General features: G+C 39.0%; 1 protein-coding gene across 6 annotated transcripts in view; it reads left to right on the top strand.

Moving 5' to 3' along the window:
• Positions 1-13,435, top strand: part of STK39 (serine/threonine kinase 39) — a 293,574-nt gene extending 280,139 nt beyond the window's left edge. For 4 of the 6 annotated variants that reach the window (NM_001410961.1, NM_013233.3, XM_047443944.1 and 1 more), the window contains 2 exons: positions 2,731-2,795; positions 11,887-13,435. In NM_001410961.1, the coding sequence (NP_001397890.1) occupies positions 2,731-2,795; positions 11,887-11,961 (140 nt within the window). In that variant the 3' untranslated portion in view covers positions 11,962-13,435. The other 2 variants (XM_047443941.1, XM_017003813.3) reach the window with 1 other exon arrangement.

Genomic DNA, 15,923 nt, shown 5'->3' with positions numbered 1-15,923 from the left:
AAAATAGAAAAAAAATTAACTGTTCACATAAAGATACCCTGTAGGGACAGGCGGGTGGGAGGAGTGTTGGTAAAGCCCTAGTGACAGGGCTTGAGGGCCACAGTCCCTGGGGGCCTCAGTGCATATTATTGGTGTCCCTGTTTGCCCAAATGGCAGAGATTGTGGGCTGGGAAGGGAGGGACTAGTTCAAAGAAGATAGCACAATGTCTGCTGCAGAAACCAAGGGGCATGAGTTTTATTTGGGAAAACCAAGAGGGATTTGAAATGAGTCAGTGGCTACTGAGCAAGCAGGGTTCAGAAGTCCCACATTTTCCAGAAACTCGAGTGTCTTACAACACAAAGGTCAGTGTTCTCAGCACAGGCTCAGGCAGCTCTAAAGCAACAGCCAGCCCTACCCAGCCCTTCCTTCTCAGCTCACGTTCCAGGTAAGGAGCGTTTTTATTTTTGAAATCCAGGTGCACAGTCAGGAGATGGGAGGAAACAGTGACACCCATCTTTTTAATGAGCATTGCTACTGGAAAAGAAATTAGCATCACCCTGAATTTTATGTGATGTCAGTTAAATGAAGGTGTTTTATAGCACTTTACAACAAATTAGAATCAACCAAATTGAAAATAAGCCTAGCAGCTGGGATAAGTAATCAGGTAAGTGGCCAGTTTTGCTTATTTTTACTTTGAGCTGAAGACAGAATTTGAATTTTTAATGTCCCAGAGGTGTGAGATTCACAACTGGGGAGTGTGGTTTCTGGGATGATTGTTTAAGATGCAGGCAGCTCCATCTTGCCCTTAGGTCTCCAAGTTGCTTGACACATTCCCTGGAAATTGGCCCTTGTATATATACGTGTACACCGGAGAGAGGGTTGTGAATTAGTGTAGGCTAGAGCTCTGCTTTTGACTGAACATTAGAGAGCAGACTGGAAATAGATGACCCAGAACAAGGCAGTAAATCATCCACATTAACTGAGAAACTAATGAAAGGACTGAAATTTATACGAAGAATTTATGGCCACTCATGAAATCAGCCCAAATCAGAGGAACTATTAGAACACTTTTATGTTTTAAGAAAATGGGTACTGTGTTCATTTGCTGTAATTTGCATGTAGTCAGAGTGCCCTGACATGATAAATACTGGCTTTGGTGGACAGGATTTTACAGCAGAGCTTTGCACTCCATGAGCCAATGTTTCTTGCATAAATGACTTGATGATTTTAGTGTCTAAAATATGTTCAGAAAACTGTTGAAAGGCCACAGGAAGCTTTGCGATGATAACTATTCTGGAATTGGTGCCCTGGGGTGTACCCGATATGTGTGTGCTTGCTTATGTGGGCAAAAGAAAGAGGAGAAAAAGAGGAGGCAGATGGGAGGAGTGTTGGTAAAAATGAAACTGCAGATCACTCAGAATGGAAGTATTAAAAGGGCAACAAATGAAGATAAAATGATGCTTGCAATTATGGTTTATAAAGAGAAATAGGCCATATTGAGTACATAATTTTTCTTTTTTCTCCTCTGCAGCTGATGGATTAAATGAAATAAACTAATCTGCAGAAAATCCATGTATCTAGGTTGTTGTCAGTCGACCTTAGAGAAAATTAAAACTTGCGCAGATTTCTTACTACTTTCTACTTAAATTTTTCTACTTGAAACACTTTTCTCAAAATACTTGTATGTGTACTATTTTATCTTAAAATTTTTTTATCTTAAAAAATTCAGGTAACTTCAATACCTAACTACTGAAGCAGCAGATAATTTTACTCATAAAAAAATAAAAATGACAAACACGACATTCTCCCATAATTTCTTCAGCAGTAACTTCTCCTTCCCTAAGCAATAGCCCTTATTTGACTTTCAGGACTTTATACTTCAGGTGTGGACATGGAAAAAGTAAGTTTTAAGTTTCCATCATCATTAGCTTTTGATAATTCTGTTCATTAGCAGTACCCTGAGCCAGAGGAGTAAGCAGAAAAAACTGACTTCTCTACTGGAGTATCAGATAGATCATTACACCGTGAAGAACAAGGACAGATCTCCAATGAATCCAGCTAATACTGAAAACATATCTGCAGCACTGAGCTCCAAACTGACAGCGTCTACTCTAGTGCTTGACCCTGTTCAGCAAACTTGGGTATTATTCAAGGTGGCACTTCCCTGGTTTGACAGATCACTGTGCTCTGAAAGCCTTAAAACATGCGCTTGAGTTGTAGAGGTTATCCACTGTATTTTGTTGCCTTGATAAAAATGGGTTCAGAGAATTGAGTGAATTTATAGGACAGGGGTTCAAATGTGCTGACCTTCTATTTCCAGAGAAAGCCTTTGTTTTTTTTTGTTTTTTTTTTCTCCCCACTACCTCTCCTCTTTGTTTTGTACTGCCCTCTCCTGGCTAATAAATTTCTTAGTAATGAATATTTAGAGAAGCCAAGTGGCGGAAACACTGGGGGCTGCTATCATTTCTACTTTCCGTTAGAAATTTCAGATTTTATTATATGAAATGCAGAGTTGACATACAGTGATTAATTCAGATGTGCATAGATACAAGATTGCTGAAATGATATCAATTGTTGTAGAAATATCTGTATGAGAGTAATTTGGTCATTTATATGGACTTTGCAATGTTTATGAAAAATGATTTTGCAGTTTATTGCATCATTAGTCAAATTTTCTGAGTCATTGATGTGAAAATCCACTGTTATTGGAAATAATCTGGAAACTTTCTCTCTACGTTTATATTTTACAGTGGCTGCTAATTTACAGAAGATTGTAGATGATCCCAAAGCTTTAAAAACATTGACATTTAAGTTGGTAAGTGGAAAGTTATGGAAAGAAGGAGGTAATATTTTGCCATGCTGTGCCAGCAGGGAATAATAATCTAGTTTAATAACCTACTCTGTAATTTTGCTGTTGTTGTTTTCTTTTAGAATCAATTTTTGCATTTGGAAGCATTTGACTCTGCAGCGTTAGGGAACGTTTTCTGATTGTGACTGGAAGTGTCCTCTTCTATGAGCATAGCTTTTTCTTATCGTCACACCTTTGACTAAGAGCGGCCATATAAGAATCTTGAAGCCTAGATCATTTTGCTTGCAGTTTGTATTGCAACTTGACCATAAAGACAAAATTACACTGAATTCAAAGCAACACTCTTAATAAAGCTTTCCTAAGACAAAAGCCAAGTGGTTCTAACTTTTAAAAATAGAGGCTGATTGTTGTAGAAATGGTTTAGGTAATTGGAAGCAATTGTAGAACAACTCACCAAAGGCTGGCGGACAAAGACACAACAATTTACTTCCACATTTCAAATCAACAGTAACAGATTTTTGTAGAAAGGAGATATTTCAACAGTTATTCTGCACTAGTAGATTGTAAACTTAAGTACTAGGTGGCCACAGAGATACAGAGTGCCGGACATTCTGGGGTCACTGTGAGACCAAGATGGTGGTGGTCAGAAATGGAGAGAAGTCCAGATAGTCAAAAGTGACCGTTTTCCAAAAAATTTTAGCGAACAGTACATTAAGGTACATTTTAAAAATCGTAAGTTAATTTTATCAAAGGCTGGTCAGAATCCCAGAAGCAATTTTAGATCTAGATGACCAACACTTTGCTGTGCACAACATAGATTGATGATCTTTTTTATATTTGTGAAATTAAATGGAAAATGTGGGTGACCAAAAATGCTAAATGATTAGTTACAGTAAATGTGAGCCTGGTGCTAATTAACTTCCTGGGTCTTGCTTCCCATCTAATTTTAGATAGCTAGGCTGTGTGATAAAAGAAAAACACAAAGATTTTCACAGAAAAGATATATCTGAAGGAATTCTTTTTGCTTTGATAAGAAAGTAACATTTTATTCAGATGTAGAGTGCTAGGTTAACAAATAGGAAAATCCCTTTTCTGGTTTGGGATGACACTGTCACCTCTTAATGTGTGTGTTTTTTTTTTTTTTAATGTGAGAGTATATTGATGAGAAAATGGCAGCCTGTGTCAGCATTTCAAGCCAATATATGTCCCTTTATTCATTTTTTTAATACCACCTCAAGAACATTTTCCTAATTTGTAATATGCAAACAGAGATAAGAGTTTGAAACTCTCATGCTGGACTTTTCTCATTTTATTATGAAAGAGGAACAGTAACCCTGGCCCTTTCCTACTACCGAAGATTTTGTGAAAACAGCCGCTGTACAATCTCTAGGTAAACCATAAGAATAATGTAAAACTCTCCCTCATCTCCTAATCAGCTTATATGTTTCTTAAATTCTCTCTGGATTCTGTCCTCTTCCCTGCATCTCCATTTCCTGCACCCAAGCAGGATTCTCTCATCTTCACAAACTAATCTTCCTGCCACCAGTTTGTCAGCTTTTGGCTCTGTTTACCACCCTGTGCCTGTAGCCAGAGTAATCCTCCTACAATCCCAAAATGTGGTAGACACAGTGTTTCCACTGCCCTATTGTAAACCGCACACCCGGGACAGGCTAATGAAGCCTGGTCTGCCCCCACTCCTCCAGCTCTCCTGCTTTACCATTATCTCTGGTAGTAGGCCCATTTCACATCTCGGGAACCTCGGGCTCGCTGGGGTGGATTTGCCCAGGATCACACAGCGATCACACAGATCCTGAGTCTGGAAGCTGCAGACTCCCCCCTGGTCTAGCCTCAGTGCCCACGCTCTCAACAGCCATTCATCTTGGAGGCAGACCCCTGCAGCCTTAGGGCTGTACAGTTTTCTGTCATTTTGTAGATTCCTCATTTTGGATGACTGGGTACATTTACATTGGCTGGGACTGAATCTCCATTGGCTGAGACTGAATCTCCTTTGTACCTTCAGCAGATTGAGTAATAGTGGCCTGTCAGGCACAGGGGAGTTTTGGAAACAAGTCCGTGTTTTCCTTCCCATTACAGCTTGAAAACGTAGTAGTGTGGTGTTCACAGTAAATGGAAATTGATGGCTTATTCTCCCCAAAGATAAAGATGGTTAACGAAAACCAAACTCAGGAGGGACCTTATTTCTGTCACTTAACTTTCTGTCCAGCCCTTGTTAGGCCCCAGGAGGGTTTCTTTGTTGGTATCAGCTGCCAGCCGGTTTGAGATCCACTTGGCAGAGCTAATTTGAACTGGTTTTTGGCCTGATCTTGCATAGGACACTAACATCCCAATAAACTGCAGAGATTCAAATGTATTTACCTTCATTCATCAACTTGGTTATTTTATTCAGGAATAAAAGATCAAAGTATTTCAGCAGCGTTTTTCCTCGTAAGCTGCTGCTGCGCATGGTCCCTTTATCTCTCAGCTTTTTATCATTATTTTCATCTCAGTGCCTTTCATTACTTTTTAAAGGAAAACGTCAGGGGCCTGAAAATTGTCTAAAGAACAGCAGTGTCATGATACTGTGGTTCTTTACCTCCCTGCACAGTGGTTTCACTCAGGGGAGCACTGGGACACTTTAAAAAATTAATGCCTAGGGCCGCAGGGGTGCGCCTCCAGGAATGAATGGTTGTTGAGAGCATGGGCTTTGAGTCTAGACCAGGGGTGAGTCTGCAGCCTCCACTGTGTGATCCTGGGCAAATTAACCCCAGAGAGCCTGGGGTTCCCAAGATGTGAAATGGGTCCTGTTTTAGGACCTAATGTCTGGTCTTACGACAGATATTCTTATTTAACTGCTCTTGGTGCAGCCTGGGCTTTGGGAATGTTAAAAGGACTTCATGGTGGTTCCAGTGTTCAGCAAACCCTGAGAAGCATTCCACAGGGAAGATAATAAGTAGGATTTCCATTGTTGGTATGGCCAGGGGCTGGGAGATCAGATTCTTCTCTTCACTTTTAACAAAGTGGTTCAGGCATAGAGGGCATTTCAGCTCAACTATTATGTGCTTTGAGTTTGATGTATTTTTTTTTAGTAGTGTTTTATTGTTGTAAACCTTGAGACAGGTCTTTATTTTTAAGCCATTTTTGAATGGACTACTTGGCAGTTTTGTAAGTAGGTGAATCTTCCTGCTTTCAATGTGGAATTTTTGAAATTGCATTAGAAAAAACATGAAATAAGATACACTTAATTTGCCTTTGAAGATAGAATACAAATTTTGAGAACATGTAATTAACATCTAATTGGTACACATTAACATGAGCATTATAGACTTTAGTTACTGAAGTTTAATAGCATTATATGTATTGCAGATAGAAATTTCATAAGCATTTTCACAGTGACTAAACGGACTTATTTTTAGAGGTTCTTAGCTTCTGCATAATTGGAGGCTGTATGACTAAGGCAACATTTTGCCAAGTGCAGGTAAAGTCAAGCCTGAAACTGGGTAAAAACTACCTAAGCGTTTTAACTTTCTCCTCCTACTGAAGGGGTAGAAAAGTGAGACAAAGATCTTCAAGGAAACTTCCAGTTCCAGAAGGTCCATGTCTCTGTGCCTCCTACTCCCAGCCTAAAAGAGTGGCTGTCCACATGTGGCCCCCAGACTGACAGTGTCAGCTTCCCTTGGGAACTGGATTACAATGTAAATTCTGAGACCCCATCTCAGGACTAAGGAATGAGAATCTCTTGGGGGCTGGGACACAGGCATCCGTTTTAACAAGCCCTCCAGGTGATTCTGATGCAGGCTGAAGTTTGAGAACCAATGCTTTAAAGGAAACTTGTAGTTTCACACTGGGAAGCACTGGGATAGACGAGTGGTTCTCAGACTCTATGGTGGGGGGGTGGGGGCACCTCACACTCTCCTAGTGATTCCAAAATGCACCCGCATTTGGGGTGGAGGCATTCCTTTTCAGTGACGCCAGGTAACCATAACTTCAGCTCCTCCATGGGGTGCAGGCCACACCTGCTGTCATGGCGGGAGGGGTGAGGAGATGGAGTGTTCAGGAATCAGAATACACCCTGAGTAAGAGCGTGCATGATGTCATACGCTGTCACATTAGGTCCCTGATAATGTATACATTTTCCTTTGGCAGGGGAGGCAAACTGTTATCTCTGCCTTCTTAGGGTTTTTTGGCTGGGCCTGGAAGTAAACCGACATAAACAGATTAACAGGAGAAAAGCATACATATTTATTTAATCTAAGTTTTACATGACATGAGAGGCCTCATAAAGAAATGAAGACCCAAAGAAGCTGTTAGAATTTAGCACATATATTGAGTTGGATGAAGCAATAAATGATGAAAGGGGGCAAGGCAGTGGGGGGCTGGGACGAGGGTTCATCGTGGAGAAGTGACTAGGAACACGAGGATGAGTTTAACAAGGTTTGTTTGTGTAGATGTCTGTCAGGGGCTTCAGCTCCCCATCTCTGGTGATCAGAATAGCTTTCTTCTTCCAGGTGCAGGGAGGAAACCTTCCACTTGGGAGTTTTAACTCCTGCTTTTAGGAAAGTCAGAGGGCCCTTCCTGCATCTGCTGCTGTTGTTTTTTAAAGTGTCTTTAACGCAAAACCATGAAATAGAAGAGTGGCATATTTTGGGGTAGCGTGTTCTGAACTTCTCCTTCACTTTGAAATTGAGGCTCACAAAGCGTGGGCCTCAAACTTCTGAGTTTCCCTGAGACCCTTCTAGGGGATCCTGGATGTCAAAACTCTTTGTGACTTGCCTTTTCCACTGTGTTGACGTTGGTGTAAAGCCGTGGTGGGTAAAACTGGTAATGTCGGCACACATGCAGCAACATCAGACTGCACTAATAGTCACTGTGTTCCTCAGAGCCAGGCACTGTCACTCACTGTAAAAAAGCAAAGCCAATTTCACTTGAGAATTTTCCTAACAAGGCAGGAAACATTATTGACTTTATTGAATTTCAGCTACAGGACACATCTTTTGAGTGTTCAGTGCTATGAAGTGGGAATCCCTCCTTCATTATACGGGTGTACATTGACAGTCTTCAGGAAGAGCACTTGTGAGATTGTTTGGTTTGAGCTTACCTACATGTTTTTTCTTTCTTCATGAAACATCATTTTTACTTGAAAGAATAGCTGACAAACTGGTTTTTCAGACTCGGATATTTGGCAGACATTTTTTTCAGAATGAAGTAAGACTGACACTTAAAAAAAAAAAAAACAAAAAGCTGATGGCCGGGCGCGGTGGCTCACGCCAGTAATCCCAGCACTTTGGGAGGCCGAGGCATGTGGATCACGAGGTCAGGAGATCGAGACCATCCTGGCTAACATGGTGAAACTTCATCTCTACTAAAAATACAAAAAAAAAAAAATTACCTGGACATGGTGGCGGGCACCTGTAGTCCCAGCTCCTCGAGAGGCTGAGGCAAGAGAATCGCTTGAACCCGGGAGGCGGAGGTTGCAGTGAGCCGAGATCACACCACTGCACTCCAGCCTGGGTGACAGAGTGAGACTGTCTCAAAAAATATAAATAAATAAATAAATAAATAAATAAATCTGACAATATTTGTTGTTGATAATAAATTCAAGCTTTCAAGCAAAAATAGGATTTTGGAAAACTTGTATCGCTACTGTAAGCTTGACAGTAACCCAGTACTTAAAGACTTTTCTGATGAGATTGGTGATGGGTGATGTTAATGGGTATGATTTGTTGACATTGTATAATGAATTGTTCATATTGTATAATGAAACATGTCAACATTTAGAAGATCTGCATAAGTCAGTGATGCTTAAAGTCATGCATGGGTAAAAGATCCACTCAAAGTGCAAGGTAGACCAATAGATTTTAAGGTAACAGGGTATGAAAACTTCAATACTGTGGTTTCAGAGTGTACATTGCAACTAACATTAAAGAAATTGCCACTTGGAAAGTTCTAGTGCAGTAATAAATGATATCCACAACTATTTGGAAAAGCTATCAAAATACTCTTCCCTCTTTCATATATATTTGTATGAGGCTGGATTTTTTTTTCATGTGCTTCAAGGAAAACAGCATAAAACAGTAGATTGAATACAGAAGTAGGTATGAGAATCCAGCTGTCTTTTATTAAGCAAGACATTAAAGAGGAAATGTAGAAGTCAGGCCACTCTTTGAGTTTTCTTGCAGTGGGTAGGGGAACTATGGTTATTTTCCATGAAGATTTTATTTATGTTTGTATGTAATGAGTTTATTATTGTTAAGTTTAATGAATTAGTAAAGGAATATTTTTAAAATGTTTTAGTTTTAATTTAAGATAGTATAATTAATTTATGTAAACCTATTTTATGTTTTTAAATGTACTGTTTATATTATTACTTCAATATCTTGACATAATTTCAAATAATATATTTAAAATACTTTTTAAATCTCTCAGCTTTAATTTCTAAGACAGTCAGTCTAACGAATATAACCCACATAAGCAGACACTTTTTGGAGTCCTCAGTAATTCTTGAAGAGTATCAAGAGATCCTAAGACCCCAAAGTTTGAACATTGCTGTTTTGAAGGGTCATTGGTTCCTTTCTCTGAATTTCAGAGTCATTTGCATATCACCCTCATTTGTGCTTTGCAAGCTGAGAGAGCCCTGGACTCAGCAGTGAGAGCCCAGGTAGCAGAGGAAGGAGGGCTGAGCGCCTTGAAGCAAACACAGCCAAAGGTCCTGGCCAGGAGACAGACATTTCAGTGTAGCTATGGGAGGCACTGAGGACCCAGGGTGGGTAGGAACTTTGTGAAGACTCCTTCTGTGATGTTCTCACCGTAACCACTGGTTTATCACCTACTCTAGTAAGTTCTCATTTCCATTACTCTTCACAAGAAAGGATTTAATATTCTCATTTCTAGTCAGTTCAACCACTATTGGATATTGTAGTTTTATTCTAGTCATTTTAACCTCCTGATATTCACATTGCCAAATTTCTGATGAAGATTTGAAGTACATTGGTGTACTTCACATTTGGCAATGTGACCTTTTTGTCACCACCAGCAGCCATAGTTTGTCTTTGGATGTTTGTCAGTTGCCTGTTAATTACACAGGTTGTCTGCCATTATTCAGTGGGTTGAGTAAATGATGTTAACAAGAGCTACACATGAGAGAGAAGGGATGATTTAGGAAGGTAGATAAAGAAACAGTGATAACACAAGGAGAAAATGGATAGGGAAGGTGAATATTACAGTGTCAGTGTGACACCACCAGAAATACCTCAGCCAAAATGCCCTCTATGCCTGTACTACTTTGTTGAAAGTGATAAGGAGAAGAGCATTTCAGACCTCATCGCCCCTGTCAACACAAACAATGACAATTTTACTTCTCTGAACATCTTTATCTGTCAGATGAAACCAGAGATATCACTGGATAGGTACAAAGTAAATTCCTTTCTTTAAATACTGATTAATATTTTTATCCTTTAGGCTAGTGACTTTTTTACATAAGCATAACTACTTACATAGGATGTTATTTTAAAGATAATCATTTGAAAATATTCAAGGTACAAACATTATAGTTAGCTGATTATTTAATAGAAAATGCTAGAGTTGATGCTGGTTTTCTGTACTGTTTTTTTGAACAGTTCAAAAAACAGTACACTATGAACAGTACAGTTCAAAAAACAGTATAGTACATATTCTAAATGTATACAAGCAGTGCTATGCAGCTTAATTGTGGTGATTGGAAAGGGCACGTTTCCATGGGAAACTAATTGTTGTGACAATAATTTAGCAGGAATTAGGCTCTGAAAAGGTTTGTATGATCCTTTGGTAATTAATTGCCCATTCCCAGTCATTCATCATACTTTTTTCTCCCTTCCTTGTTGTTCTTATGTAATGTCCAATTCTGATTTATGTACTATAGGATGAGAGGCAGCTTAGAATGGTGGATCTGAGGGGGCGGGGGGGGAGAGAGAGAGAGAGAGAGAGAGAGAGAGAGAGTGTGTGTGTGTGTGTGTGTGTGTGTGTGTCTAAAAGCAAGCAAGGGGGAGAGGTCACAAGAAAAACGAAATAACTTATTAATTAGGACCAGTGAGAGGTTTGAAGGGAAATGGCTTCCTTTTTTTTTTTTTTCTGAGGTGGAGTCTCGCTCTGTCGCCAGGCTGGAGTGCAGTGGCACGATCTCGGCTCACTGCAACCTCTGCCTCCCCGGTTCAAGTGATTCCCCTGCCTCAGCCCTCAGCCTCCCAAGTAGCTGGCACTACAGGTGTGTGCCACCAAACCTGGCTAATTTTTTGTATTTTAGTAGAGACGGGGTTTCACCATGTTGGCCAGGATGGTCTCGATCTCCTGACCTCATGATCCACCTGCCTCGGCCCCCCAAAGTGCTGGGATTACAGGCGTGAGCCGCCATGCCTGGCCAAGGCAATGGCTTTTTTCCAGTTCTGTCTGATTCTGAAGTAAGAAAAATAAAGTATTTGACACACCATAATTTTTGCCAATTTTAGGCAATTAATATGTCTGAAAATATAAACAAAATTCTTTTATAGAAAAGAATTGTTATAATACCTTTCCCTGTAAAACTTATTCACTGGTATTTATATAGCAGTTCTCTCTAATGAGCCCATCGCAGTACTTGGTGATGACTTTTTCCTGGCAAGTTTCATAGAAGAAATGAGTTTGGTAAAAACTAAATTACTCCTGGGTGACCTGTTAGATCTCTTCTGCTTATTTTCATGTTGTTCTCAGAATGATTACTAAGGTGATTTAGTTAGAAAGTATATTTAAAATAATTTTATTTAGTTTTTGAAAAATTTGTTTGTGGTTTCTTAGCAGGGGTGTTTCACTGACTGTTCCAAAGCTTCCAGCCTGGGCATGGTATTTTAATGGATAACAAATCCCTTCCCACCTCTGTTCTGTACTTCATAGCATGATGGCCACAGTGCTGACAGCACTTAGCTTCCAGTAGTCATTCGAGAGAGTGGCTGGCGTCTCTCTTCTGGAAGAAATGGGACACATGGTCCCATACCAACTGTGCCTTTGCTTAGATCTGCCATCATAGGAACAAGACTTTAACAACCAGCAGCAGCAGCAAACCAGCATTGAGGCTTTCTTTTTCCCTTTTCAGGCTTCTGGCTGTGATGGGTCGGAGATTCCTGATGAAGTGAAGCTGATTGGGTTTGCTCAGTTGAGTGTCAGCTGATGTATGTCCCTTGATGTCACCCTGATCTGTCATGCCCCACCGCCACCCCTACTCCCTTCAACCCTCCCTCTTTCTGCCCATTTCCTCCCACCCCCTCACTCCCATTTCCTAGCAAAATCAGAAGATTGTGAAGAGGCCGGCTTCAACAAAATGGGATAAAAAAATAATTTTTTAAAACTTACAACACTCCGAGTTCTGCTTTATTCTCTAGCAATCCACAGTACAAGAACAAGCAAATGCCACAGCTGCACGACTGTTGCTCATTTTTCCAAAAGCTATTTAATATTCTTAGCAATCAATTTGGATATCCCTTAAGTGAAAAGAATCTGAAATACACTCAGGTGGTCTTATTTATTGGCAACAAAAGGAATTTTCTATCCAGAAGCCTATTTCTCCTTTCATTGTTGTTATTTCTGTTATAATACTTTAATTGTACATCTGACAATACTGCCTCTTTTATGTTGTATTTAGAAATTAATATACTTATAAAATTAAGATTTATTAGCCAAACTTGAATTCTAGTTTTAAAACTGACTGTGAATTTTATTTTTCATATATTTATGCATTACACACCTTAGCTATAAGAAAAAAAGGGTTTTGATTATATGCTTCTTGCAGTTAATCTCGTTATTTAAACAAAAAGTTTTGGGTCTGTCTTTGGAGTATTTGTAACTTCTAAATTTTGAAATGACTGAATTAGGAATTTGGATGCTTATTCTTTTAGTCTGTTTGCCTAAAAACCAATTTACAATCTGACTGTCTCTTGGGAGAGGGAGGTGCCTTGCAAACTTTCACATTAAGAATGTGCCTGAGGCTGCTTTACTCTGGAATAGTCTCAGATCTAAAATTTCCTCTATATAAGGTGGCATATGTTAAGTTTTGCTTCATTGGACCGTTTAGAATGCTATGTAAAATGTTGCCATTCTGTTAGATTGCTAACTATATACCCATCTCTGATTTGGCTCTCCTTAAGTGATAGGATTTGTTATTCTAAAGGTGATAAACTTGAAAATATCAGAATCTGAGTTTTACTTGAAATTTTGCAGAATACCCAGGTGGAGTGAAAATTGGAAGGGTTTTGTGCAATGACTAAAAGGTAAAACGCTGTTAAGGTTCAAGAATCAATACTTTCAACCCAAGTAGCCCTCTGCTTGACTGTATATTATGGAACTAGTAAACCTTAGGATTTTGAAAATTGGAGTCTAATCTTTCAAGGAGGTGGGCTCCCAGGATGGTACCATTGCTCTTTCCTAGCTAACCCTAGATATGGCAGCTCTTTAATGTACTTCAAAAAGCAAATATATATTACTAAGGAAAAAAAGTTATTTATAATTGCCTTGTCATAATTGTTAAGGTGTTCTAGAGCCATTTGCATACAATTTAATGTAATTTCATTCCATTCTATTGTTTACACAACGATTACTCGAAGATGACTGCAAAGGTAAAAGGAAAATAAAAGTGTATTGCACAATGAGATTGTTTTGCATTGTTTCTTTCCTCCTTTAGATATCATCTGCATTACTGCAATGGCATTTAGCACTTTCATAAAATGCCTAGTAAGAGTTAACTAGTGAAAGTGCCCTAGAGGCAGAGTGAGGAGGCATCATGCATCCAGTACAGAGAACTGGGTTTGACAAGTAACTTGAATTAGCATGAGGAGAGAATGAAAGGCAAACATTTCTACTCCATATAGACAGATGGTCTTCGAATTAAAACCCCTATAGGGCTATAGGGGACAAGAGAGAATGATTCCTTCCAACCACTTCATTCATTTTAATGCTGTTAGTCCCTGAGGCTCAGAGTGGTTGAATGACTTGTCCAAGGCCCTTTACAGGACTACTTGCAGAGCTAAACTCCCAGGATCCTCACTTCCTGACATTCAGAGCATGTTCTTTACACTCTTCTGTACAACTTGTGGGTGAAAAGACAAGACCCTTATCTTCTACTAAGAGGATAAAATGTACATGAATAACTGGAGGACTTTGCAACATGGAGACTAATCAAAAATCTTTCAGAGGGGTGGACTCCCAGGATGGTGCCATTGCTTTTTCCTAGCTAACCCTAGATATGGTGGCTCTTTAATATACTTTAAAAAGCAAATATATATTACTAAGAAAAAAAGTTATTTATAACTGCCTTGTCATAATTGTTATATCATTTAATATCTGTATTTAGACATGGTTATAAATATCATTTAATGTCTGTATTAAATTTCCACCCATATTTTCATATCCATCCTAATGGCATTTGAGGTAGTTTGCATACATTCATACAATAGGATAGAGATGTAAAAATGCATAAAGAAATTAGGATGAAGGGACAATAAGAACTGCCTTACAAGGTGAATGCAAGGATAAAGTTAGTACATAAAAATCACCACGAGGGCCTATATAATTGCTAGAATACACAGATGTGGACTAGAGCTTCCTACCCACCATACTACCTTAATTCCCAACATGCAGAGCAATCTACAAATTCAGTATAATCCTTATCAAAATTTTTAAATTGTATTACCCACAGAAATATGAAAAACAATCCTAACATTTGTATGGAACCACAAAAGACCCTGAATAGCCAAAGCAATCTTGACGAAAAAGAACAAAACTGAAAGCACCACACTTCCTGATTTTAAATTACATTATAAAGTTATAGTAATCAAAATAGCATGGTACTGGTATAAAAACAGACCAGTAGAACAGACTAGAGTCCAGAAATAAACCCATACATGTATGGCAATTTTTGACATGAGTGCCAAAAATATACAATGGGAAAAGGACAGTCTCTTCAGCAAATTTTGTTGGGAAAACTGTATATCCACTTGCAAAACAATGAAATTGGACCTTTATCTTACAACTTAAAATCAACTCAAAATGGATTAAAGACATTATAAGACATGAAACTCTAAAACTCCTGGAAGAAAACAGGAAGAAATCTCCTTGGCATTGGTCTTATCAATGACTTTTTTGGATATGACACCAAAAGCACAGGCAACAAAAGCAAAAATAAAGTGGGATTATATGACACTAAAAAGCTTCTGCACAGCAAAGGAAATAGTAGACAAAGAGCAAAAGCAAAAATAAAATGGGATTATATGACACTAAAAAGCTTCTGCACAGCAAAGGAAATAGTAGACAAAGAGCAAAAGCAATCTATGGACTTAGGAAATATTTTTAAACTATATATCTGATAAGGGGTTAATATCCAAAGTGCATAAAGAACTCATATAACTCAAGAGCAAACAACAACAAAACATTAAAAATAGGCAAAGGACTTGAATAGATATTTTCCCAAAGAAGACATATAGTTGGCCAATAAGCATATGAAAATGTACTCAACATCATTTAATCATCAGGGAAATGCAAATCAAAACCACAATGAGGTATCATCTCACACCTGAAGATAAGTGCTGGCAATGATATGGAGAAAAGGGAGCACTTACATGCCTGTTGGGGGAATGTAAATTGGTACAGCCATATGGAATACAGTATGGAGGTTCCTCAAACATTAAAAATAGAACGAACATATAATCCAGCACTCCCACTTCTGGGTGTATAGCCAAAGAAAAAAAAATCAATATCTTGAAGAGATATCTGCACTCTCATGTTCATTGCAGCATTATGCACAATAGCCAAGATAATGGAAACAACTGAAGTGTCCATGCATGTATGAATGGATAAAGAAATTGTTGTGTTGTTTTGTTAAGAGACAGAGTCTCGCTCTGTTGCCCAGGCTAGAGTGCAATGGCATGATCACAGCTCACTGCAGCCTTGACCTCTCAGGCTCAGGCAATACTCCCACCTCAGCCTCCCGAGTAGTTGGGACTACAGGTATGTGCCACCAGGCCCAGCTAATTTTAATTTTTTTTTTTTTTTTTTTTTTGTAGAGACAAGGTTTCACTATATTGCCCAGGCTGGTCTTCAACTCCTGGGCTCAAGCGATCCTCCCACCTCAGCCTAGAAATT

Source organism: Homo sapiens, chromosome 2 (assembly GCF_000001405.40).
Source record: "Homo sapiens chromosome 2, GRCh38.p14 Primary Assembly".
NCBI classification, from domain to species: domain Eukaryota; kingdom Metazoa; phylum Chordata; class Mammalia; order Primates; family Hominidae; genus Homo; species Homo sapiens.
Note: the sequence above shows the minus strand (reverse complement) of the source record. Positions and strands in the feature narration are given on the sequence as shown.